The sequence below is a fragment of the Homo sapiens genome, chromosome 3, assembly GCF_000001405.40.
Source record: "Homo sapiens chromosome 3, GRCh38.p14 Primary Assembly".
In the NCBI taxonomy this organism is placed as follows: Eukaryota; Metazoa; Chordata; class Mammalia; order Primates; family Hominidae; genus Homo; species Homo sapiens.
This window is the reverse complement of record NC_000003.12, coordinates 197,699,416-197,724,989: the sequence shown is the minus strand read 5'-3', so window position 1 is coordinate 197,724,989 and position 25,574 is coordinate 197,699,416. Positions and strand designations below refer to the sequence as shown.

At 43.6% G+C, this 25,574-nt stretch overlaps 1 protein-coding gene across 9 annotated transcripts in view, besides 8 other annotated features; it reads left to right on the top strand.

Annotated features, from left to right (window-relative positions):
* Positions 1–25,574, top strand: part of RUBCN (rubicon autophagy regulator) — an 80,954-nt gene that overhangs the window by 24,831 nt on the left and 30,549 nt on the right. For 7 of the 9 annotated variants that reach the window (NM_001145642.5, XM_047449268.1, NM_014687.4 and 4 more), the window contains 6 exons: positions 6,860–7,013; positions 19,815–19,898; positions 20,289–20,448; positions 21,336–21,442; positions 23,126–23,282; positions 23,844–24,377. In NM_001145642.5, the coding sequence (NP_001139114.1) occupies positions 6,975–7,013; positions 19,815–19,898; positions 20,289–20,448; positions 21,336–21,442; positions 23,126–23,282; positions 23,844–24,377 (1,081 nt within the window). In that variant the 5' untranslated portion in view covers positions 6,860–6,974. The remainder of the gene's footprint in view (positions 1–6,859; positions 7,014–19,814; positions 19,899–20,288; positions 20,449–21,335; positions 21,443–23,125; positions 23,283–23,843; positions 24,378–25,574) is intronic. The other 2 variants (XM_006713831.5, XM_017007543.2) reach the window with 1 other exon arrangement.
* Positions 5,738–6,032: an enhancer, noted in NCBI's record as "tiled region #6653; HepG2 Activating DNase unmatched - State 9:DNaseU". NCBI's record gives its function as "activates a minimal TATA promoter and a strong SV40 promoter by Sharpr-MPRA in HepG2 cells {active_cell/tissue: HepG2}" and the evidence as "EXISTENCE:reporter gene assay evidence [ECO:0000049][PMID:27701403]".
* Positions 5,738–6,032: a silencer, noted in NCBI's record as "tiled region #6653; K562 Repressive non-DNase unmatched - State 16:ElonW". NCBI's record gives its function as "represses a minimal TATA promoter and a strong SV40 promoter by Sharpr-MPRA in K562 cells {active_cell/tissue: K562}" and the evidence as "EXISTENCE:reporter gene assay evidence [ECO:0000049][PMID:27701403]".
* Positions 12,280–12,649: an enhancer, noted in NCBI's record as "active region_21113". NCBI's record gives its function as "activates an Ori minimal core promoter by ATAC-STARR-seq in GM12878 lymphoblastoid cells {active_cell/tissue: GM12878}" and the evidence as "EXISTENCE:reporter gene assay evidence [ECO:0000049][PMID:35858748]".
* Positions 12,280–12,993: a biological region, named in NCBI's record as "Sharpr-MPRA regulatory region 8415".
* Positions 12,358–12,652: an enhancer, noted in NCBI's record as "tiled region #8415; HepG2 Activating non-DNase unmatched - State 16:ElonW, and K562 Activating DNase unmatched - State 5:Enh". NCBI's record gives its function as "activates a minimal TATA promoter and a strong SV40 promoter by Sharpr-MPRA in HepG2 and K562 cells {active_cell/tissue: HepG2 | K562}" and the evidence as "EXISTENCE:reporter gene assay evidence [ECO:0000049][PMID:27701403]".
* Positions 12,373–12,993: an enhancer, noted in NCBI's record as "H3K27ac hESC enhancer chr3:197438868-197439488 (GRCh37/hg19 assembly coordinates)". NCBI's record gives its function as "activates a minimal SCP1, AML or CMV promoter by ChIP-STARR-seq in naive H9 embryonic stem cells {active_cell/tissue: H9 hESC(naive)}" and the evidence as "EXISTENCE:reporter gene assay evidence [ECO:0000049][PMID:30033119]".
* Positions 15,530–15,639: an enhancer, noted in NCBI's record as "active region_21112". NCBI's record gives its function as "activates an Ori minimal core promoter by ATAC-STARR-seq in GM12878 lymphoblastoid cells {active_cell/tissue: GM12878}" and the evidence as "EXISTENCE:reporter gene assay evidence [ECO:0000049][PMID:35858748]".
* Positions 16,185–16,385: a silencer, noted in NCBI's record as "peak4996 fragment used in MPRA reporter construct". NCBI's record gives its function as "represses an SCP1 promoter by STARR-seq MPRAs in K562 erythroleukemia cells {active_cell/tissue: K562}" and the evidence as "EXISTENCE:reporter gene assay evidence [ECO:0000049][PMID:32103011]".

Below are 25,574 nucleotides of genomic sequence, written 5' to 3'. Positions count from 1 at the left end.
CAGGCTGGTCTTGAACTCCTGAGCTCAAGCAATGCACCTGCCTCAGCCTCCCAAAGTGCTGGGGTTACAGGCGTGAGCCACCACACCCAGTCTACTGATCCTCTATTAATCGCTAGTCTCAGGAAAGCCCTAAACAATTCTGCTCTTCTCTACAGTTCCCCCATATTACTAAAGGTAACCACTATTAACGTATTATTTCTTTTCATATTTTTATGTTGAGATCGTAAATCTAATTTTACATTCTGCTTTTTATACTTTAATATGCTATAATTAGCTTTAGAAACTTTTTGGTCAAAAGTTTTCATTCTTCATGGTATTCCATCATGTGGATGTCACATCTTTCTTCCTCCACTTTGGGGATCAAATCATTACCTGACTTGGGACAACCTGACTTTCAGCTGTGATCCATGGGCCTGTCCCAGATAAAGAGCTCACTGTGGAAGGGACATGCCAGTAAGCTGAAGCTGTTTCCTTTACCACTAAAAAGAGTATTTGGGGATTGAAGATAGACCAGTATCTATTTCTTACCTTGAATCACACTTTGCAATTGCATAGTACTTTCACTTATTTACTATTTATTATATATTTCATATATATCACATATAAGATACTCACATGTCATGTTTTTAGTGATTATGTTTTAGTTATGTATTAGTTATATAGTGTAATACTTTACAGAGTTTTGTAGCTTTTTACTTTAATCTTGAGTGTTACTTATTATAACATACTTATTATAACATGGTGAGCTTAAGACTGAGTTGGCATCTAGGAAAACTGGTTTTCCCCAGATATACTTATTTGGGTCACTTAAGCAATTTCTGTTCCTCTTTAAAGGAGGGATGTGGTCAAGATCCTCCCAGAAGAAGGTAGTTGGTATTTTATTCTGAGATTGGCTTCGTTGTGAGTTGATGAAAATGATTTATGTAGGGATGGGTTATACTCTCCCTTGCCACTTAGGCCGCCCCCCAGGTTCAAGCAATTCTCCTGCCTCAGCCTCTCGAGTAGCTGGGATTACAGGCATGTGCCACCACGCCTGGCTAATTTTTATATTTTTTTAGTAGAGAACGGGGTTTTTCCATGTTGGTCAGGTTGGTCTCGAACTCCTGACCTCAGGTGATCTGCCTGCCTCAGCCCCTCAAAGTGCTGGGATTACAGGCGTGAGCCACTGCGCCTGGCTGGGAAAGGATATTTTATTTCTCCATTGTGATCTGTTTACTTGCATCTAAGATTCAGGCATAATGGTTTAATCAAACCAGTGTGTATGAGCTTCAGTTGAATTTAGTATTTCAACTCTCTGATATTGATAATTATATCATTAGGATAAACGATCCTAAAAAGATGAAGACACTAAAGAGATAGGCAATATAAAAATATGTAAAATGGGACTTCAAAAATTCCAGATTTGGGGAGGAATGGAGTTAAAGTATAGGTTTTGTTTGTTTCTTCCTTTTCCTATCTTTATGATCAAACTTAAGTCACTGTCAGTTTAAAATAACTTTTTATGGGCCTGGCATGGTGGCTCACACCTGTAATCCCAGCACTTTGGGAGGCTGAGGTGGGCAGGTCACTTGAGGTCAAGAGTTTGAGACTGGCCTGGCCAACATAGTGAAACCCCGTCTCTACTAAAAATACAAATATTAGCTGGGTGTGGTGGCAGGTGCCTGTAACTCTAATTCCAACTACTCAGGAGGCTGAGGCACGAGAATCGGGTGAACCCAGGAGATGGTGGTTGCAGTGAGCTGAGATCATGCTACTGCAGTCCTGCCTGGGTGAGAGTGAGACTATGTCTCAAGAAAAAAAAGAAAATTAAAAATAAATAAAATAACTTTTTATAACTACAAAATGTGTTTTGTAAGCCTCATGCTGACTACAAAGCAAAAACCTATGACACACCAAAATTGAAAAGCAAGGAATCAAAGCACACTACTAGAGAAAATCAAGTGCCACAACAGAAGACAGTAACAGAAAGAAAGGAACTGTAAAAAAACTAGAAAACAAGTAACAGACCTTACTTATCGATAATTACCTTAAATGTAAATGGGTTAAATTCTCCAAATAAAAGACAGTGACTCAATGAATTTTTAAAAACCTTCCAAATAAGCCCCAACCGTATGCTGCTTCCAAGAATCTCACTTCACATGTGAGGACATACATAGACTTAAAGGGATGGAAAAAGATGCTCTATGCAAATGGAAACCAAAAGACAGCAGGAGTAGCTATACTTATATCAGAGAAAATAGACTTCAAATCCAAAGTTGTGAAAAGAGTCAATATCATTATGTAATGATAAAGAGTCAATTCAGCAAAAGGATATAACAGTTGTGTGTGTGTGTGTGTTTATATATTAAGGTGCTCCCATGTTGGATGCCTGTATATATGCATGCATGCATCCAACATGGGAGCACCTTAAATATGTAAAGTGAATATTAGTAGACCTAGATGGGGAGAGAAAGTCTGATACAGTAACAGTCGAAAACTCTGATACCCCACTTTCAGCAATGGACAGATCATGCAGACAGAAAATCAACAAAGAAACAGCAGTGTTAAACTATATCCTAGACTAAATGGACCTAACAGACATCTACAGAACATTCTACTCAATAGCTGCAGGATACACATTCTTCTCAGCAGCACATGGAACCATCTCCAGGATATATGATATCATATGGTAGGCCACAAAACAGGTCTCAACAAACTTTTAAAAACTGAAATCATACCAAGTATTTTTTCTTTTTTCTTTCTTTTTTTTTTTGAAATGGGGTCTCACTCTGTCACCCAGGCTGGAGTGCAGTGGTGCAATCCCAGCTCCACCTTTGCCTCCTGGGTTCAAGCAATTCTCCTGCCTCAGCCTCCTGTGTAGCTGGGATTACATGCACGCACCACCACACCTGGCTAATTTTTTTTTGTATTTTTAGTAGAGATGGGGTTTCGCCATGTTGACCAGGCTGGTCTTGACCTCCTGACCTCAAGTGATCCGCCCACCTCGGACTCCCAAAGTGCTGGGATTACAGGCATGAGCCACCGCACCCGGCCATTCAAGTATCTTTTGTGACTACAGTGCAATACAACTAGAAATCAATAACAAGAACAACTTAGGAAACTATACAAATATGTGGAAATTAAACAACATGCTCCTGAACAACCAGTTGGTCAATGAAGAATTAAGAAGGAATTAGAAAATTTATTGAGACAAATGACAGTGGAAACACAACATACCAAAAACAGTGGGATACTGCAAAAGTAGTACTAAGAGGGAAGAAAATAGCAATTAACATCTATATCAAAAAGTAGAAAGAGCTCAACCTAATGTTGCACCTCAAGAAACTAGAAAACCAGGACAAACCAAACCCAGAATTAGTAGAAGGAAAGAAATAATAAAGATCAGAGCAGAAATAAATGAAATAGAGAATGAAAAAATATATATATAAAAGATTAACAAAAGAGTTGTTTGTTTCAGAAGATAAAATTAACAAACCTTTAGCTAGACCAAGGGGGAAAAAAGACTCAAATAAATAAAATCAGAGAGAAAAAGGAGACATTGCAACTGACAGCACAGAACTATGAAGAATCACTAGAGGCTGTTATGGGTAACTGTGCCAACAAATTGGAAAACCTAGAAGAAGTGAAGAAATTTGTGGACACATACAGCTTACCGACACTGAATCATGACAAAACAGAAAACCTGGACACACCAATAATGAGTAATGAGATGGAATCGGTAATGAGTCTCCTATCAAAGAGAAGCCCAGGGCCCGATGTTGTCACTGCCGAATTCTACCACAACTTCAAGGAAGAACTAATACCAATTCTTCCCAAATTATTCCACAAAATCGAAGGAGAGAGAATTCCTCCAAACTCATTCTACAAGGCCAACATTATCATGATACCAAAGCTACAGAGGGGCACAAGAGGAAAAACTACAGGCTAGTACCCCCGATGAGTATAGCTACAGAAATCCTTCACAAAATACTAGCAAACCAAATCTAATCGCTGCACATTAAAAAAAAATCAGAAGATAGCCGGTGTCGGTGAGGATGGGGAGAAAAGGGAACCCTTACACGCTGCTGGTGGGAATGTAAGTTAGTACAGCCATTATGCGACACAGTCTGGAGGTTCCTCAAAAAGTTAAAAATAGAACTACTGTGTGATCAAGCAATCCCAATACTGAGTATATATCCAGGGGAAACACAATCGGTGTATCAAAGCGATACCTGCACTCCTCTATTTATTGCAGTGCTATTCATGATAGCCAAGGTATGAAATCAACTTAAATGTCCATCAACAGCCAGGCGCGGTGGCTCACTCCTGTAATCCCAGCACTTTGGGAGGCCGAGGTGCACAGATCATGTGAGCCCAGGAGTTTGAGACCAGTCTGGCCATCATGGAGAAACCCCATCTAACTAAAAATACAAAAATTAGCCAGACATGGTAGCCTGCGCCTGTAGTCCCAGCTACACGGGAGGCTGAGGCAGGAGAATCGCTTGAACCTGGGAGGCAGAGGTTGCAGTGAGCCAAGATTATGCCACTGCACTCCAGCCTGGGCGACAGAGTGAGAGTCTGTCTTAAAAAAAAAAAATGTCCGTCAACAGATTAATGGCTAAAGATAATGGGGTGTGTATACACTATGGAATACACTTCAACCTTAATTCTTTCAGTTTTGGCAACATGGGTGAACCTGGAGGATGTTACCTTAAGGGCAATAAGCCAGGCACAGAAAGACAGCTGTCACATGCTATTACTCGGTAATCTAAAAAGTTGTTCTCATGGAGGTAGAGAGTGGAATAGTGGTTGCCAGAGGATGAGGAGGGTAGGAGGGAGAAGGGCATGGAGAGAGATTGGTCAACAGGTACATGGTTGTAGTTAGGCAGGAGGAGTACGTTCTGGTGCTCTGTTGCACAGTAAGGCGGGAGAAGGGCATGGAGAGAGATCGGTCAACAGGGCCAAGGGGACAGACAGTTAGACAGAAGGAGTACATTCTGGTGCACAGTAAGATGACGAGGGTTAACAGCAGTGTATGGTGTAGTTCAGAATAGCTGGAAGAGAGGTTTTTGAATGTTCTCATCACAGGGAAATGATAAATATTTAAGGTGATGGATATGCTAATTACTTTGTTGCGATCAATGCACAATATATCCATTGTATACTATCAATATGTACAATTATGTATCAATCAAAATTTTTTAAAAAGGTGACACTAAATACGGTAGCTATGTAAATCAATTTTTTACAGAAGTTTTCTTCTACATGAGCAGATACCAAATATAGATTGTTTGGTGTATCTTAGAATAAAAGCCACATTCTTTTGTAGCTTTGGCACCTTAGGGACACTTCATTGTGAGGAAGGGAAATTCTTCAGCTTTGTCCAGAGGAAATTATAGGTAGATCTGAATGCTCAAAGTTTCTAAGATGTCAATGCTCTTTGTGTAATTTTGGAATCAAAGCCCTAGGATGATAGAGTACTTAATGTTTGCTTTTGGGATTTATCATGTTCTTTTTTTTTTTTTTTTTTTTTTGAGACAATCTCACACTTGTTGCCCAGGCTGGAGTGCAATGGCATGATCTCAGCTCACTGCAACCTCCACTTCCCAGGTTCAAGCGATTCTCCTGTCTCAGTCTCCCGAGTAGCTGGGATTACAGGCATGTGCCACCACGCCTGGCTAATTTTTGTATTTTTTGGTAGAGATGGGTTTTCACCATGTTGGCCAGGCTGGTTTCTAGCTCCTGACCTCAGGTGATCCACCCGCCTCAGCCTCCCAAATTGCTGGGATTACAGGTGTGAGCCACTGCGTCCAGCCTCATGATGTTCTTTAACAGTTAACCTTGTAAGATCAGTACAGAATGAATCAGAACACAGGTATGCAGAGTCACGTCATGAGTCAGACTGATTCTCAGGCCTATGAGACCGGATTGTAACCTGTTGGCACATGGGAAAACTGTGTCACTAAGAAATCAGAGGCTAGTTTGCTCTGAGGAAGAGGCATAGGATATGCAGAGTCACTGGGCAAAAGTTGGCAGTCCATTGGCCTCTGCGATGGCCGTTTCTTACGGTATAATCATAAATGACATTTTAGTGACCGCCTTAGTCCTACAGTTTCTGTCCTTCACGATGCTGTAGTTAGCGCTTGGAAATATAGGAAATAAGAAGTTGTTTTTGGCCTTTTTTGTTTGGCAAAAGATGTCTGGTTCTGTGTGGATGCCTTCATCTTTTTGTATATTGTGCAGGTACTGTCATTGTTAAGAAATGGATCTTAGGCTGAGTGCAGTGGATTACATCTGTAATCCCAGCTCTCTGGGAGGCCGAGGTGGGAGGATCACTTGAGGCCAGGAGTTGGGCAGCATAGTGAGACCCCATCTCTACAAAAAATTTAAAAATTATCTGGGTGTGTTGGTGCACATCTGTAGTTCCCAGCTACTCGGGAGGTTGAGGTGGGAGGATCACCTCTACCTGGGAGGTTGAGGCTACAGTGAGCTGTGATCATGCCACCACACTTCAGCCTGGGTGACAGAGTTAAGTGTCTCAAAAAATAAAAATGGATCTGAATGGGTTATACCCCTATAAAGTTAGGGTTATAAGCTGCTTATGTGAGGATTGAGTGAGATAGTAGATGAAAATCCCTTTACAAAGCATAATCTACCATTTGAATGTGAGGGTTTTTGCTGTTTGTTTTTTGTCTTTAAATTAGTATTGTTCACAACTTTAATTCTCTCAGAGTTGAGTTTTGTGCCCAAGTAAAAATTAAGAGGGGAGAGAATGTTAGGATGTGGGGCAGGAGGCTCCTCGGCTTAGACTTTCTTTGATATGATCAGGATCAAGTACAGCAAAGGTAACTAACGATTGGTGTAACTGATGCCCTTGCAGGAGGGAGCACTGGCAGTTGCTGGGTAATTTGAAGACGACGGTGGAGGGTTTGGTATCAACCAACAGCCCCAACGTCTGGTCTAAGTATGGTGGCTTGGAGCGGCTTTGCAGGGACATGCAGAGCATCCTCTATCACGGGCTTATCCGTGACCAGGTATGCAGAACTCCTTTTTTTGCCAGATTGGCTGACTCGCTTGTTGAAAAGAAACAGTCGCATTGGCAGGGAGGAGATGAAGGCCACTGGTCTGTGGACTCCTGAGAGCAGCTGTGACTTAATTCATTTTTTTAATATACAGAACGTTTCACATCGTGTCTGATGGACCATAGATGTTAATGGAATGAATAAATCACTGGGTAGGACAGCAAATCAGCAACAAAAGATTAGGTCAACTTAAAACTTTCCTATTGTTGCTGTAACAAGTAACTACAAACTAAATGGCTTAAAACAACACAGATTTATCATCTTACAGTTCTTGAGATCGAAGTCCAAAATGAGTTTCACGGGGCTGAAACCAAGGTGTCTGCAGGGCCACACACCCTCTGGACGCTCCACAGAGAATCTACTTCCTTGCCTTTTCCAGCTTCTCTAGGTTTCCTGCATTCTTTGGCTCTTGGCCACTTCCTCCATCTTGAGAGCCAACAGCATAGCACCTTCAAATCTCTCTCTGCCCCCCCCTTTTTTTTTTTGAGACGGAGTCTCGCTCTGTCACCCAGGCTGGAGTGCGGTGGTGCGATCTTGGCTCACTGCAAGCTCCGCCTCCCGGGTTCACAGCATTCTCCTGGCTCAGCCTCCCGAGTAGCTGGGACTACAGGCGCCCGCCACCAGGCCCGGCTAATTTTTTCTATTTTTTAGTAGAGACGGGGTTTCACCGTGTTAGCCAGGATGGTCTCAGTGGTCTCAATCTCCTGACCTTGTGATCTGCCCACCTTGGCCTCCCAAAGTGCTGGGATTACAGGCGTGAGCCACCGCACCCAGCTCTCTGCCCCCTTTGTTTGTTTGTTTGTGTTTTGAGACGGGGTCTCGCTCTGTCACCCAGGCTGGAATGCAATGACAAAATCATGGCTCGCTGCAGCCTCGACCTCCCGGGTTCAAGCAATCCTTCCACCTCAGCCTCCCAAGTAGCTAGGGCTACGGGCACATGCAACCACACCTGGCTAATTTTTGTGTTTTTTGTAGAGACAGGATTTCACCATGTTGCCCAGGCTGGTATTGAATTCTTGGTCTCAAGTGACCCTCCTGCCTTAGCCTCCCAAAGTGCTGAGATTATAGACATGAGCCACCGTGCCCAGCCCTCTCTGCTTTCACATCCCTTTCTCTCCTTATGGACCATTCCTGCCTACCCCCCTCCTTATGACCATTCCTACCTCCCTCTTAAGGACTCTTACAATTATACTGGGCCCACATGGACAATCCAGTATAATCGCCCCATCTCAAAATCCTTAATTTAATCACACCTGCAAAGTCACTTTTGTCATAAAAGGCAACATTCCCAGGTTCTAGGAATTAGAATGTAGACATCTTGGAGGACCAGTCTTAGCCAACCACAGCCAGGAAGCTTTTCCTTCTGAATCTTAGTTTTGGTTTTAAAACCATGCTGGTTTTTTTCAGAAGTAGGTAGGATAAAGGAAGAAAAACAGCCAAGGCAAAAATATGTTCACTTATTTCTGACTTTCATGCATGAAATGTTTCTACAGAATGAGAAGGTGGCCAGGCACAGTGGCTCACGCCTGTAATCCCAGCACTTTGGTAGACCAAGTGGGGCAGATCACTTGAGATCAGTTTAAGACCAGCCTGGCCAACATGGTGAAACTCTGTATCTACTAAAATTACAAAAATTAGCCGGGCGTGGTGGCGCGCACCTGTAATCCCAGCTACTCAGGTGGCTGAGGCAGGAGAATCACTTGAACCTGGGAGGCGGAGGCTGCAGTGAGCTGAGACCGTGCCACCGCGCTCCAGCCTGAGCGACAGGGTGAGACTGTATCTCACAACAACAAAAGAATGAAAAGATGAAACTCCATGTGCTCAGTGACATTAAAAGTACTTCCCTGTGGGAAATCCTTTTGTCTAGAAGCCAGTGTGTTCTAGTGATAATTAATTGCTTAGGCTTGATAAGATTCGTGTAATTAGAATCAACGTCTCTTTCCTGAGACAAAATAATCAGCTCTTCCTGTGATTCTTTTTGAATTAGAATTTTCATCTTGTTCCCTAAATTTAGACTTTTGTTATTACTATCTTTACTTCAAATTAATAATGGGAAGAAAGAATTAATGTGCTTTCTTTGTAAGGATAGTGAGACTTTATCCTCAAAGTATCTGTGAAAACTAGCAGGCATAAAAGTGACTAGGGAAAAGAAGAGTTAGTAGTTAACTCATGTTAGCTACGACACGAGTAGTTAATAGGTACTGTGGCTCAGGGTAGAGCCAGACTGCCTGGATTCAGTTTTCAGCTCCTTCATGTGTTAGCTGTGTAACCTTGGGCAAAATACTTAACCTCTTTGTGCCTTAGTTTCCTCACCAGTGAAATGAGGTAGCATCTGTCTACCTCTAGGGTTGGTGTGGTATGTAAAGCATTAAGAGAATAGGAAGAGCTCTCCTAGTATGTGCTATGATGAGGAGGAAGAGGAGGAGGACACAATGACTCATTAAATTTTCCTCCTAGCATCCTAGGACAATCCGAGAACTATTTATAAAATATTGTCATATTTAGAATACCCTTTGAGTTTTACTTTATAGATACCTTGTTGACGCTTATGAATGGTAGTTTGATTGTAGCTTAAATTTTTAAAATATAAACTTTATTAATGTTGAGTTTCTTTTTCTTTTTCTTTTTTTTTTTTTTTCAAGATAGAGTTTCGCTCTTGTTGCCCAGGCTGTGTTGCAGTGGCACGATCTCGGCTCACCACAGCCTCTGCCTCCCGGGTTCAAGCGATTCTCCTGCCTCAGCCTCCCGAGTAGCTGGGATTACAGTCATGCACCACCACGCCCAGCCAGTTTTGTGTTTTTAGTAGAGATAGGGTTTCTCCATGTTGGTCAGGCTGGTCTCGAACTCCTGACCTCAGATGATCCGCCTGCCTCGACCTCCCAAAGTGCTGGGATGACAGGCGTGAGCCACTGCGCCTAGCCGAGTTTCTTTTTCTTTATATCCTCAAAAACTCTATAATCAGCTTTGAGTTTTGAAATGAGTAGAATCCAATAATTCTTAAAGGTTTCTGCTTTCTCTTTGGCAGTTACTCCATTTGCAGTGTTTTAAATACATTTTGGTTCTGGATAAAGTTGTCAAGTGAGTCACTGGGGTTTAGTATCCTCCTATTTAAAAAAAAAATCAGACCTCACAAATACAGGCATAATTGTGTGTTCTCGCTCATGTCATCCCCTGTCAGGGCCTCGTATAACTACCTGGAACTCTAAGCTCATCTTGCTTTTTTATCAGAATTTATTCTCAGCCAGTAATCACATTGGAAAAGAGCTAATCAACTAATTGGTATTAAAGTGTGTATACTTGGCTGCGCGTGGTGGTTCATGCCTATAATTCTAGCACTTCGGGAAGTTGAGGCAGGAAGATCACTAGAAATTTGAGGCCAGGAATACAAGACCAGCCTGGGCAACACAGCAAGATCCCTATCTCTGTAAAAAATTTAAAAACTTAGCCAGCCATGGTGGTGCATGCCTGTAGACTCAGCTACTCCGGAGGCTGAGCTGGGAAGATTGCTTAAGCCTGGGAGGTTGAGGCTCCAGTGAGCTATGATTGTGCCACTGCAGCCTAGAGGGAGACCCTGTCTCAACAAAAAAAGCAAACCCAAAACAGCAAAAAGCACCATCCTAGGACTGAGGAGGCAACATTGTATCATAGACTGACAAAAGTCTTTGGAGTCAGTTAGAACCTAGATCAGAATCTAGACTCATTGCTCACATCCATGGGAAATAAAGTGACGTAGCAGTTAAAATTACGGACTTTTGAATCAGACTGCTCACATTTTAATCTCAGCTTCACCATTAACTGAGTGGTGCTGGGCAAATTATATAACTCTTTTGTCTTTGTATTCTCTTTTTTTTTTGATACAGAGTCTCGCTCTGTCGCCCAGGCTGGAGTGCAGTGGCGTGATCTCAGCTCACTGCAAGCTCTGCCTCCCGGGTTTACGCCATTCTCCTGCCTCAGCCTCCCGAGTAGCTGGGACTACAGCGCCCGCCACCACGCCCGGCTAATTTTTTTTTGTATTTTTAGTAGAGACAGGGTTTCACCGTGTTAGCCAGGATGGTCTTGAACTCCTGAGCTCATGATTCGCCCACCTCAGCCTCCCAAAGTGCTGGGATTACAGGCATGAGCCACCGTGCCTGGCCTGGAATTTTTTTTAATGCAGTTCTGCCGTATGCCCTTCTCTCTTCTTACTCTGTGTATTTTCCTGAAGCAGTTTCATCTGCTCACATTGCACGATCACTCACCCATTGATGACCCCCACCTCAGGGTTCAGCAGGTTCACCTCTCTGCTGAACTCTAAATCCAGAAGATTAGCTGTCTCCTGTACCTTACTGTCTGGCTGTCTTTCAGGCCCGAGCACAACATTACCAAAACTAAACTTATGTTCTCTCATGAGATTGCCCTTCTTCCTATTTGTGGCATTGACCTGCTCAGTCTCCCAAGTCAGAAACTTGGGAATCCTGCCAGTGTGTTTTACAGAAACTCAGTGCAAGTTTCCCAGGCTGCTGACCAAAATAGCTACCAGATGAGTGGCACTGCCACTCAATGGGTCAGGTACTTGTGTCCTAATAGCAAATGGGTTCTTCTCTTGGCCCTGTTACTAATATTAAACTGTCATCTAGAGTAATCACTTAACCATATTACAAGACAGTTTCACTATCTGTGCCTGAAAGAGAAATGGAAGTCAAATCAATGAGAATCTCAAATGAAAGCTGCTTGATAAATGCAAAACACTATTCACATATCTTGTTATAGTTATTAAGAGTGATAATATCTGGCTAGGCACAGTGGCTCATGCCTGTAATCCCAGCGCTTTGGGAGACTGAGGCGGGCAGATCACCTGAGGTCAGAAGTTTACGACCAGCCTGACCAACATGGTGAAACCCCATCTCTACTGAAAATACAAAATTAGCCGGGCGTGGTGGTGCATGCCTGTAATCCCAGCTACTCGGGAGGCTGAGGCAGGAGAATCGCTTGAACCTGGGAGGTGGAGGTTGCAGTGAGCTGAGATTGCACCATTGCACTCCAGCCTGGGTGACAAGAGCGAAACTCCATCTCAGAAAAAAAAAAAAAGTGATAATATCTGTGAAAGTATCTGGTCATCAGAATGAAAAATATCAAAGCATATGATCATCTGCAAAATAGCAGTAGTATTTTTAATTTTTTTATTTGTTTTTATTTTATCTTTTCTCTCTCCTTTTTTACATGCCTCCTATCCTGAGAACCCCAGTAGTGTTAGTAATCAGAAGCAGAGCTAATCAGGCAGATTTGTCATATGGACACACACACATTTAGCAACTGCAGGCTCTAGTGGGAAGAATCAAAAGATCCGTGCCGGTTTCCTTGCTGCTCTGTTCTGCCTGGTAAAGATCTGAGAATTAAAGTCTGCGTCAAGAACTTGTTTTTCGCTTTCATTTCCTCCCTCTGAAAGATGAGGGCTTTCAAAGGTTTCAGGCTGCTGCGTCATCACCGAGCTATTCTGGGTGTTGTGCCCTCGTCAGGAGGAGGGGCTGATACAGTGATTCATGCTGCTCATGTCCCCTCTGGGCTCTCAGGAGGATGCGTTATGGAATGTGAATTGTATTTTTAAAAATTCACTCAGGGCCTTAGGAAAGCTGTAACATCATGATCGTATTCTTAGAGGGATCTCATTTTTCTTGACAGCTGCATCTGGGCTACCTTTTTAGTCCTTCCAGAAGGCAAGGCATATTTGATAGCCTCTTTTCTGTTGCTTAGAAATGTGGAGACATTTAGCCCCTGAGATTGCTCAGCTGAATAGGAGAAGTGAAAGGATTCCTCCTTTTGCCACAATCAAGAAGAAACTAGTTCTTGGCAGCATAGATGGTCCAATTAAAAAAAAATCAATAATGAAAAAAAGACCTCTGTGGTTTTTTTCTGAATATGTAATGTAGGTAATATATTTTCTTTGTTGAAAATTCAGAAAATACCTAAAAGACTTTAGAAGAAAGTAAATATCACCCATAATCCCAACACCAAGCGATAGTCACCACTCTAACATTGAGGTATATTTTCTGCTTTTTTCTATGTATTTATGTGTTTTAAAAAAAACATTAAGGTTGTACTATATATATCACTCTATAACTTGAAAAATATTTAATTTTTGAACACTGTATTTTACGTAGCTAGATAATCAAAAAAGTATAAAACTATACAGTGAAAAGTCTTGCTCCCTTCTGATCACATAAAAAACTACCATTTACTAGTTTCCTTACAGAGAATTTTTTTTTTTAATTAAAAATTTTTTTTAAAGACAGGGTCTCACTATGTTGCCCAGGCTGGTCTCAAGCTCCTGGCCTCAGGCAGCCTCCCAGCTTGGCTCCCAAGGTGCTGGGATTACAGGCATGAGCCACCATGCCCAGCCCTTCCAGAGAATTTTTATGCTTATAAAAGCAATTACCAATGATTTTCTTTGCTATACCTGCAAGTTTTTAAATATAAATAATAGCATACTGTAGTAACTATTCTGTATCTTGCCTTTTTCACTTAATATGTTTTGTAATTCATCCGAAATCATTACATAGAGAGCTTCTTCATTCTTTCTTACAGCTGTCATTTTATAATATTCCATTGTACGTATGTACCATCACTTATTTAGCCAGTCCCCTGGTGAATGGATATTTAGATTGTTTCCAATCATTTGCTATTAGTAACAGTGCTTGTGTATAAATAATTTTGCCCTTTACCGTAGGATAAATTCCTAGAATTCTTAAAGGGCATGTGCATTTGATATTTTGATAGCTATTGCTAAATTACTCTCCAGGAAGTTATGTATATAAATATCCTCACCAGAGGCCAGGCGTGGTGGCTCACGCCTGTAATCCCAGTACTTTGGGAGGCCAAGGCAGGTGGATCACGAGGTCAGGAGTTTGAGACCAGCCTGGCCAATATGGTGAAACCCTGTCTCTACTAACAATACAAAAATTAGCTGGGCTTAGTGGCATGTGCCTGTAGTCCCAGCTGCTTGGGAGGCTGAGGCAGGAGAATCACTTGAACCCAGGAGGCAGGAGGCAGAGTTTGCAGTGAGCCAAGATCACACAACTGCATTCCAGCCTGGGCGACAGAGCAAGACTCCATCTCAAAAAAAAAAAAGTAAAAGATTACACTTCTCTTAGCATGAAAAGATATTATAAGTGTCATTGAATTTTTTTCCCTGTGAACTTTTTCCTATTTTATTCCTATTTTCAGTAGATTTAGTCTTTTCCTACTGATTTATAGATATTCTTTATTTATTGAGGAAATTAGTCCTTTGTAATGGGAGTTGCAAATATTTTTTCCTAGTTTGTCTGTTGACATTTCTTTCTTTTTTTTTTTTTTTGAGATGGAGTTTCACTCGTTACCCAGGCTGGAGTGCAATGGCACAATCCCAGCTCACCGCAGCCTCTGACTCTGGGGTTCAAGCGATTCTCCTGCCTCAGCCTCCCAAATAGCTGGGATTACAGGCATGTGCCACCATGCCCAGCTAATTTTGTATTTTTAGTAGAGATGGGGTTTCACCATGTTGGTCAGGCTGGTCTTGAACTCCTGACCTCAGGTGATCCACCCGCCTCAGCCTCCCAAAGTGCTGGGATTATAGGCATGAGCCACCGCGCCCGGCCGTCTTTTGACATTTCTTATGGTGGCTTTTACTGTGCCAAAATATCTGACTTTTAGTAAGTCAAATTAATCAGTTCTTTTATGACTTCTCTTAGGGCTTTGTGTGGTGCTTAGAAAGGGCTTTTCTACTGTGTGATTTTTTTTTTTTTTTGAGACAGAGTCTCACTCTGTTGCCCAGGCTGGAGTGCAGTGGCACGATCTCAGCTCACTGCAACCTCCGCCTCCTGGGTTCAAGCAATTCTCCCGTCTCAGCTTCTCGAGGAGCTGGGATTACAGGTGCATGCCACCACGCCTGGCTAATTTTTGTATTTTTAGTAGAGACAGGGTTTCACATATTGGCCAGGCTGGCCTCGAACTCCTGACTTCAAGTGATCCGCCTGCCTCTGCCTCCCAAAATGCTGGGATTAAACGGGTGTGCGCCACCACACCCAGCCTACTCTGCAGTTATTAAGAGTGTTTTCCCATGGTTTTGTCTATTACTTTTATGGCTTAGTTTTTTACATTCAAATTGTTCCATCTGTAATTTATTTGGAATGTATTTAATTTCCTATGCATTTGTATCAACTTCTCAATTTCTATTCTGGTGTGTTGTTCTCTGTTTATTTGCCATCACCACTCAGTTTTAATATAGTAGCTTTTCAGGCCGGGCGCGGTGGCTCACCCCTGTAATCCCAGCACTTTGGGAGGCCGAGGCAGGCGGATCACCTGAGGTGGGGAGTTTGAGACCAGCCTGACCAACATGGAGAAACCCCGTCTCTACTAAAAATACAAAACTAGCCGGGCATGGTGGCGCAAGCCTGTAATCCCAGCTACTCAGGAGGCTGAGGCAGGAGAATTGCTTGAATCTGGTAGGTGGAGGTTGCGGTGAGCCGAGATCGCGCCATTGCACTCCAGCTTGGGCAACAGAGAGAAACTCCGTCTCAAAGAAAAAAAAAACCCATAGTAGCTTTTCATTATGGTAGCGGGTAGTTCCTCATTCTTACAGCATCTGTTGGTGGTGGTGGTGGTGATGGTGGTGGTTTTTCCCTCAACATGCAAACATTTGTTCTTTTATTTACTCTGTGAACTCCACACCATTTTTCGATAAGAACAGGAAAAAACTGCTTATGCAACATGACCTGGATCATTAACTGATTGACGAAGTGAGGGAAATCAAGTAGTGATAATATATGTAACTCAAACATTTTATTTTAATTTAAAACATAAATTTATATCTATTCAACAATCTTAGGATATTGGGTCAAAGCCTATTCTGTGAGTATGGGCCCACTGATGGAGTCTGTATCATCTTTCTTATATAAACTATGCGATAGAATTTCCAGTTTCAATTTCTTTTATACTGAGCCAGCAATTTAAAAAATCCTGTAGTATGAATATAAAATTTTCATTTTTCATTTTTCCCCTAACTTCTGAAAATTGTCTTGCCTCCACCTAATTCAGTATCAACTCTTTATAGTGACTTACCTTTACTGAAAAGGCTTTTCAGAGCATACTAGTGTTTATAAATACAGTCATTTCCTCAAAGTGCATAATCATTACTTTAAATGTGAAATTATAACAAGTACAACTGACAGGAATAGGTTTGGGAACAAAAATAACTGATTCTTGGTAAGCCACAACTCAATTGGTGGGAGTAAAAGTGCATGTTTATTCTAGAGAATTATCTATACCCAACTTGAGTGCTTCTTTGGCAACGTTGGGAGAATTGGAAAGCCATTCTTTCAGCAAAGAATATAGCATTGCTCTTTTTTTTTTTTTTTTTTTTTGAGTCTACCACTGTAGTCTTTTTTTTTCTTCGTAGCATTGCTTTTAATGTGTATATATTACAAGTGTACCCTAATTTAACCAGTACTCTACTGATAAATGTTCAAGTTGTTTACATATAGGCCGGGTGTGGTGGCTTACGCCTGTAATCCCAGCACCTTGGGAGGCTGAGGTGGGTGGATCACCTGAGTTCAGGAGTTCGAGACCAGCTTGGCCAACATGGTGAAACCCCATCTCTACTAAAAATACAAAAATTAGCCAGGCGTGGTGGCAGACACCTGTAATCCCCGCGACTCGGGAGGCTGAGGCAGGAGAATCGCTTGAACCTGGGAGGCAGAGGTTTCAGTGAGCCGAGATTGCACCATTGCACTCCAGCCTGGGTGACAGAGCAAGACTCCGTCTTGGAAAAAAAAAAAATTGTTTACATATTTTTCTTTATTTGCTATCATAAAAAATGCTAAACATTCTTTTTTTATGTAAAGAAATTTATTCATAAAATTTATCCCTCTCTCTGTTCCTTTATGATTTGCACTTTTGTAGCAAGGAAAGACCTGCTGAATCAGAACTTGCATTATTATTATTTTTTTTTTTTTGAGACAGAGTATTGCACTATTGCCCAAGCTGGAGGGCAGTGGCTTGATCTCAGCTCACTGCAACCTTCACTTCCCAGGCTCAAGTGATTCTCCTGCCTCAGCCTCCCGAGTAGCTGGGACTACAGGCATGTGCCCCATGCCCGGCTAATTTTTGTATCTTTAGTAGAGACAGGGTTTCACCATGTTGACCAGGCTGGTCTCGAACTTCTCCTGACTCAGGTGACCCTCCCACCTCAGCCTCCCAAATTGTTGGGATTACAGGCGTGAGCCCCTGTACCCGGCTTGATTTGCACTTCTGCTTTTAAACATTGTAACTTTTATCTGCATAGAAATCCAATATCCTTACTTTTCTTAGTGGATTTGTAGTTTCCTTTTTCCTTTTTAACTCTTCAATACAGGTGGAATTTATTCTGGAATTTATAAAATAAATCATATTTATTTTCTATGATTTGAGGAGAATGCCTAAATTGGTCTACTTCTAGCCAGCCAATTTTCTCAACAATATTTCTTGAATAATCAATTTTTTCCATTTTTTTTCCCAAACAAAAAAGTAGTTTATTTAAGGGTTTAAGTTAGTTTAAAATTTTGTCTGAAGAAAAGAAACCAATTTTACATGCTTTTCTTTTTTTTTGAGACCGGAGTCTCGCTCTGTCACCCAGGCTGGAGTGCAGTGGCGCCATCTCGGCTCATTGCAAGCTCTGCCTCCCGGGTTCATGCCATTCTCCTGCCTCAGCCCCCCGAGTAGCTGGGACTACAGGCGCCCACCACCACGCCCAGCTAATTTTTTTGTATTTTTAGTAGAGACGGGGTTTCACTGTGGTCTTGACCTCCTGACCTCGTGATCTGCCTGCCTCGGCCTCCCAAAGTGCTGGGATTACAGGCGTGAGCCACCGCGCCCGGCCACAATTTTACACGCTTTTCACTTAAAAATGATGTAACCAAGAGACATGCTGGAGTTGATGTCCCACGGCTGCCCAGCCCTGGCTGGCCACTTAAAATCCACTCAACCAGATACCAGAGTCCCTGCCGCACTACCACCAGAATACTGAAGGTCTTCATGATGTTTATTGTCAAAAGAGCCTGCACATCTGACATTTCCGGTTCTCACTTCTACCCTCGCAGTATAGAGGCGAGAAGAAAGACTTTTTACAAAGAAGCACCTCTGACTGTTGAGGTGGTTTTAGATCGTGTATTAAGTTCTGATATATCTTAAGGTCTCTTTCAGGCTATTTATTTTGTACCATTGATTGGTCTTTGTCTCTTTTTTTGTTTGTTTTTTTAAGACAGGATCTCTCTCTGTCATCCAGGCTGGAGTGTAGTAGCACGATCTCGGCTTACTGCAACCTCTGCCTCCTGGGCTCTTGTGATCCTCCCACCTCAGCCTCCCAAGCAGCTGGGACTACAGGCATGTGCCACCACACCTGGCTAACTTTTTGGATTTTTTAGTAGAGATGGGGTCTCGCTATGTTGCCCAGGCTGGTCTCAAACTCTGGGCTCAAGTGATCCGCTCACCTCAGCCCCCCAAAGTGCTGAGATTACAGGCATGAACCATCGTGCCTGGCCTGGTCTGTCTCTTGATACTTGTGCTAGCTCTATATATTTTTAATTATTTAGATTTTAGTTTTAATCCCTACCCAGTAGTCTCAGAAAAGGTTATCGAAAAACAACAATTGGGTTGTTATGGTACAAACATTTTGCATGTTGAGGCCTGTCCCAGCGTGAGACCATTTCATCTGGTCTGGGCATTTCTTTGCCTCCACAGCTCTTCCCTGACCTGGGTGGCGTGGAAAAGTAGATGTTTCCTTATTTGATTTTGCTTTTGCAGTAGGGGCTAAAGACATCCAGCTCTGGCTTTTAACAATAGCTCTTTACCAGTTTTAAGAATTATTTTTTAGAAAACAGAACGGTAGAGAGAAAGGAGTAGAAACCATTATTTTCAGCCGGGTACGGTGGCTCATGCCTGTAATCCCAACACAAGTGACCCAAGGCGGGCAGATCACTTGAGGCTCGGAGTTTGAGACCAGCCTGGCCAACATGGTAAAACCCCATCTCTACTAAAAATACAAAAATTAGCCAGGCGTGATGTCATGTGCCTGTAGTTCTAGCTGTTCGGGAGGCTGAGGCATGAGAATCGCCTCAGCATGGGAGGTGGAGGTTGCAGTGAGCTGGATCACGCCACTGCACTCCAGCCTGGGTGACAGAGTGACTCTGTCTCAAACAAAAAGAAAAAGAAAACATTATTTTTACTGTATACCTTGTATGTCATATGCATATGTTACCTGTTCAAAAGAATGGTTAAAATAATCTTTAACAATTATTCTTTAAAAGGGTAAACATATGTCAAGTGTAGTATTCCTTTTTTTTTTTTAATTCCTTTTCTTTTTTTTTTTTTTTTTTCTGAGTTAGGGTCTCACTCTGTTGCCTGGGCAGGAGTGCAGTGGCACAATCATGGCTCACTGCAGCTTTGACCTCCCAGGTTCAAGTGATTCTCCCACCTCAGCCTCCTGAGTAGCTGGGACTAAGGCATGTCCCACCACTCGGGGTAAGCTTTAAATTGTTTGTAGAGATGGGCCAGTCTACCTGGACTCAAGCAGTCCTCCTGAAGTGCTGGGTTTACAGGTGTGAGCCACCACCCCTGGCCTCTGTGTGTATCCTTTGATTGCTGCTAAGAACCTTTGATGAGGCAAGGGAAGGTTGTGGTCCTTTTCCTATCTTTGAATGCCAACCCTAGAACTAGATCTGGTCCAGAATGGTCGTGATTTGCTCATTGTATGTGTTCCCTTTGCAGGCGTGCCGCCGCCAGACGGATTACTGGCAGTTCGTGAAAGACATCCGGTGGCTCAGTCCCCACTCAGCCCTTCACGTGGAGAAGGTAAGAGTGAGAGCAGAGCGGCTGTGCTGGCAGAGCTGTGGGTCTTCACTGTTTGAGGCTCTGTCAGAAGAATCTTCTAGGCTCCAAGGAGGGAATATGTCCAGTTGCCTATCAGCTGAGGAAAGGAAATTAATTATCCCTGTAGGGACTGACTTTATTTGCTTAAAAAAAAAAAACATGCAAACCCATTGGTCCAGGCCACTTTTTCTCCTCTGGGGAAGGGAAAAAAAGTTTTGCTATTTTCAAAAAAGCCTGCCTACATGGGACCCAGGGTGAAGCCTTTCAAAGCATTTCCCTTACCTGTCTCAATTTAGTTCTCAGGTCATTAGGCCTCAATCTTGCCGTATCTACCAGGATGTGTGTTTTGACTCATGCCCCTTTGCTTCCCAGTTCATCAGCGTGCACGAGAACGACCAGAGCAGTGCTGATGGTGCCAGTGAACGTGCTGTTGCCGAGCTGTGGCTGCAGCACAGCCTGCAGTACCACTGCCTCTCAGCCCAGCTCCGGCCCCTGCTCGGGGATAGACAGTATATCAGAAAATTCTACACAGGTAGGTAGAGGCCACTTAGGACTGTCATCTGTGCTTCCTCGTTGTCACCCACCTCACTATCCTCTACCCCTCTGGTACCAGGGCCTCCTATTTTTCTTTTTTTCTTTGAGATGGACTTACGCTCTTGTCACCCAGGCTGGAGTGCAATGGCGTGATCTCGGCTCACTGCAACCTCCGCCTCCTGGGTTCAAGCAATTCTCCCGGCTCAGCCTCCTGAGTAGCTGGGATTACAGGCATGTGCCACCATGCCCAGCTAATTTTGTAATTTTAGTAGAAATGGGGTTTCTCCATGTTGGTCAGGCAGGTCTCGAACTCCCAACCTCAGGTGATCTGCCCGCTTTGGCCTCCCAAAGTGCTGGGATTACAGGCGTGACTACCGTGCCCGGCAGGGCCTCCTGTTTTTCACTTGATGCCATAGGGATTCTACTCAGAAACATATATCCAGACTTACCTCTCACCTCCCAAGTAAGACACAATCCAGCTTTATGTTAAGGTCGTCCCCTACGGCCACACACACAAACCGTAAGAATAGCCACCATTTACCACGAGTTTCCTGTGTGCCCGTCACTGCTGTCCAGTATCTTCACAGCAGCCCCGAGAGTTGGGCATTGGTGCTACTGTTTCCAATCCACAGGGCTCCAGGAGGTTAGGCGACTTGGCCAAAGTCACTCAGAGCCAGGATTCAAATCTGGATTTTTCTGACGTTGAAGCCTCTTGCCCTGGCCATTTTGCTGCACCTCGCGTTCTTCAGCTTCTCCTCTACTTTGTTTCTGATCTGCCTTCACCCTCCTCCTCATTCATCCTTACCTCTCCCTTTCTGCTTCCTCAAGCTTCTCTCAAGGCCTCCCTGATGGGCTCTATCACTGTGGCAGCTTTTCTCTCCCCAGATGCTGCCTTCCTGCTAAGTGACGCTCATGTCACGGCCATGCTGCAGTGCCTGGAAGCAGTGGAACAGAACAACCCCCGCCTCCTGGCTCAGATCGATGCGTCCATGGTACAGGGGACAAGGAATTATCCACGTCTATGCTGGGTCCCTGGAGCTCAGCAGGATGTAGCCCTCTACAGCAAACTTTTTCACTTAGCCATTTTTGTGAGCTGAAAGGCTTGCATTTTTTTTTTTTTTTTTTTTTTTTTTTTTTTTTTTGAGACAGAGTCTCGCTCTGTTTCCCAGGCTGGAGTGCAGTGGTGCAATCTCAGCTCACTGCAACCTCTATCTCCTGGGTTCAGGCGATTCTTGTGCCTCAGCCTCCCGAGTAGCTGGGATTACAGGCGCCCGCCACCACACCCAGCTATTTTTTTGTATTTTTAGCAGAGACAGAGTTTCACCATGTTGGCCAGGACGGTCTCGATCTCCTGACCTCGTGATCCTCCCGCCTCGGCCTCCCAAAGTGCTGGGATTAGAGGCCTGAGCCACCGCGCCCGGCCAGCTTTCATTTAAAATGCTTGGAGGAGGGGAGGTACTGTTAAGTACCTATTGAAGTAGAAAGTCTAGGCTTAGGTCGTGTGCTTAGTAGACCTAAGCTGGGGAGTGGGGAGGTAGATTTTGTTAAACCTGTGGTATCTTTTGACAAAGGATACCAAGCCTTGACAAAGATCTGGGGAAAAGAGGGATGGTTTTGAATCGGATAGAGTTTAGTGTCAGACCTGGCATAGCTTAATGTTACACGGGGTCAGTTTTTTCATGTTTTTTTCTTTGATGTAAAGAAAATTTTATAGTACAAAGAAAATTTGTTGCCTAAAATTAACTTATCCCATCACTAATACTCCAGTCAGTGCCTTAGCTAGAATGGAATCAGAGTCCCCACTTCTTAGAGAAGCAGATCCCCTATCTCTCCAGATTCTTTTAATTAATTATTATCATTATTATTATTTTGAGACAGAGTCTTTACTTTGTTGTCCAGGCTGGGCTGGAATGCAGTGGCATGATCTTGGCTCACTGCAGCCTCCGCCTCCCGGGTTCAAGTGATTCTCCTGTCTCAGCCTCCCGAGTAGCTGGGATTACAGGTGCACGCCACCACGCCCAGCTAATTTTTGTATTTTTAGTAGAGACGGGGTTTCACCATGTTGGCCAGGCTGGTCTCGATCTCCTGACCTCAAGTGATTTGCCCGCCTTGGCCTCCCAAAGTGCTGGGATTACAGGTGTGAGGCACTGTGCCCGGCCTGATTCGTTTAATTTTGATTGTTGGTTACTATCCATTTAATACTTTGTATGTGCCAGGCACGGTGCTATGTATGATAAATGTATCATGTCATTGACTCTTCATAACCCTGTGAAGTGGGCATTGATCTCATTTTATAAAGGAGGCTGCTGAGGCACAGAGTAGATACGTGGTCCAAAGTTTGGATCAAATAGCTGATAAGTGTCAGGGCCTGGATTTGAACCCTAGTCTGTCTGACTTCTGATTCCACATACATCAGCACTTTGTTGTGCTGCCTCTGTAATAAAGTACTCCTGGTTTAACACCTGGAAGGATTCCAGTGCAGATGCTGTGGTTTCACAGTTGTAAATTACATACTGTAGTAGAAGGTAGCCTTGCTGTATCTACAGGCTCTGGCTAAAGTCCAGGCCTACTGCAAAGGTAGCTTCTATGGCATTTCTGCAGTACTGCGTTGCCCCCACTCTGAGGCCCTTTGTCCTTAACTCTGACACATTTTTTGGTTTTGTTTTGCTTTTTAGTTTGCCAGAAAGCACGAGAGCCCGCTCCTGGTGACAAAGAGCCAGAGCCTGACAGCCCTGCCCAGTTCCACATACACCCCTCCAAACAGCTATGCTCAGCATTCCTACTTTGGGTCCTTCTCTAGCCTCCACCAATCCGTGCCCAACAATGGCTCAGGTATGGGGACAGGAAAAAGTGGTCATTACATTTATCCCCAGCCCTGGAAAGTAAGAAGACTTTGTGGTTGCTCATAGGCTTGGAAAATTGAGACTTGGGTTGGTAGTTTTTCTTAATAAGGGACATCTTTACAAGTTATATAGTGACTAGCTTGAAATAATTCAGTAGAATCATGAAGTAACAGAAGAGAGAGATGTTTGTAGATTCCCCTGGGTTTCTAATCCACATTGCCAAGAAGGCATTTCAATACTAGCTAACACCGAATGATTGCCAATCATGTACTAGGCTCTGTTGTGTTCAGTTTGTATGTGTTATCCCATTTGAGCCTTCAAACAGTCCTCTTACTGCTCATTTTTCAGATGAGGAATGCATACTAATAAGCAATAAAGCACTGTCTCAGGAGCCCATACTCTTGACTTAGCTGCTTCTAAATAATTTTGTACTTTATTTGGCTTGCCGTTTCTGAGGTGACATCGTATGTCCTGGTCACCCAGTCCTTCATACATACTGCAGGATTCCACCTCACCCTTGCTCCCCTTACCATTTCCTTTTATATTCTAGAGAGAAGATCTACTTCCTTTCCACTCTCTGGCCCTCCCCGGAAACCTCAAGAAAGCAGAGGGCACGTCTCACCAGCAGAGGATCAAACCATCCAAGCCCCCCCAGTTTCAGTCTCTGCACTAGCCAGGGATTCCCCTTTGACCCCAAATGAAATGAGCTCCAGTACTCTGACCAGCCCCATAGAGGCATCCTGGGTCAGCAGCCAGAATGATTCCCCAGGTGATGCCAGTGAGGGGCCTGAGTACCTGGCCATTGGCAACTTGGACCCCCGAGGCCGGACTGCCAGCTGTCAGAGTCACAGCAGCAATGCCGAGAGCAGCAGTTCCAATTTGTTCTCCTCCAGCAGCTCCCAGAAGCCAGATTCTGCTGCCTCTTCCTTAGGGGACCAGGAAGGAGGTGGGGAGAGCCAGCTGTCCAGTGTCCTCCGCAGGTCCAGCTTCTCAGAGGGGCAGACACTCACTGTCACCAGTGGGGCAAAGAAAAGCCACATTCGCTCCCATTCGGATACCAGCATTGCCTCCAGGGGAGCTCCAGGTAATGAGGAACACCGGCTGCTAGTTAGCAAGATGACCCTGAATTGAGAGTAAGAGAGGGCTTGTTATGGGGACTTTTCAGGTGGCAGAAAGAGATGTTCTGTTTCTGGTGATACAACATCTTATTTTGTAATGAAAGAAGTTTATAACGAAATACTGAGACTCAAAATCTCTAAGTCTATTTATGTTTGTTTCTTTATACATTGCTAATATTAAATGTTTTCCTGGATTCTTTACTAGTTTGGTAACATCAGAGGATAGCGTGACTCATAGTGCGAGTTTTCAAAGTATCTCTTGGATTGGGGAAAGTATTATTGAGCTTTAAAAATAATCCCATTAAGTTCTGTCATTTCCTGTGACGTCTTAGAAGTTTGCCCAGGGTGTAATAATACCAATGTGAGAGAGGCAGAGAGATACTGGGGTTTCTAATTAAAACGAAGGCTATAGTGAGTGCAGGGTGATGCGATCCAGCAACTGAGTCGGTGGGGCTGACGGCCGCATCACTGATTCAGGGTGAGAGGCCGTCAGATAAGGAGGCCCTGGCAGCTGGGACCTCCCTCACCAAACACCAGCTGATAGCAGGGGCAGCCTACTCGTGGGGAAGGTGGGGCTCCTTGCTTTTGCCATCTCCCTGCCATCATCCTTCCCGGCTTGTGGTATCCGGCAGGCTTTGGTTGGGTTTTGTTTGTAGTAGGATCTCCATAAGAGGAAGTATAGCATGGAGCTTTGTGCTCAAAGCCATTCTGGGTCAGGAAAGCCCCAGAAATAAAATATAAAAATAAAATGTGAAAAATTCAAGGACCTAAAAAAAAGAGGGGGCGGTTTCTTTAGCAACTGGAGATAGCGTTGCTTTCTCTTTGTAATTTCTGGAAAGGTGAGAGCTAAGGCCCTCATCTGAAACCTTCAGAATTACAAACTTTTGTCTTTGTTTTCCCTCAAGAATGTGATTTAACTTGTTGGAAATCTTGAGGAGAAGAATCTCCAAATCAAAGCCTGTCTTCCCATGAGCTTTCTTAGATGTGAAGATGACTGGGCTGGACCCTCACTTCACATCTCCTGCTGCAGGCCTGATGTCTGCCATACTCCAAGCCACTGGCCTTTGAGCATGTAAAACTTTCCCGCCCCATTCTTGAATCCATATGGATTCCAGTGGAATCCTGCCTTGGAAAAAGGGAGCCCGCGAAAATGTGTGCGGAAG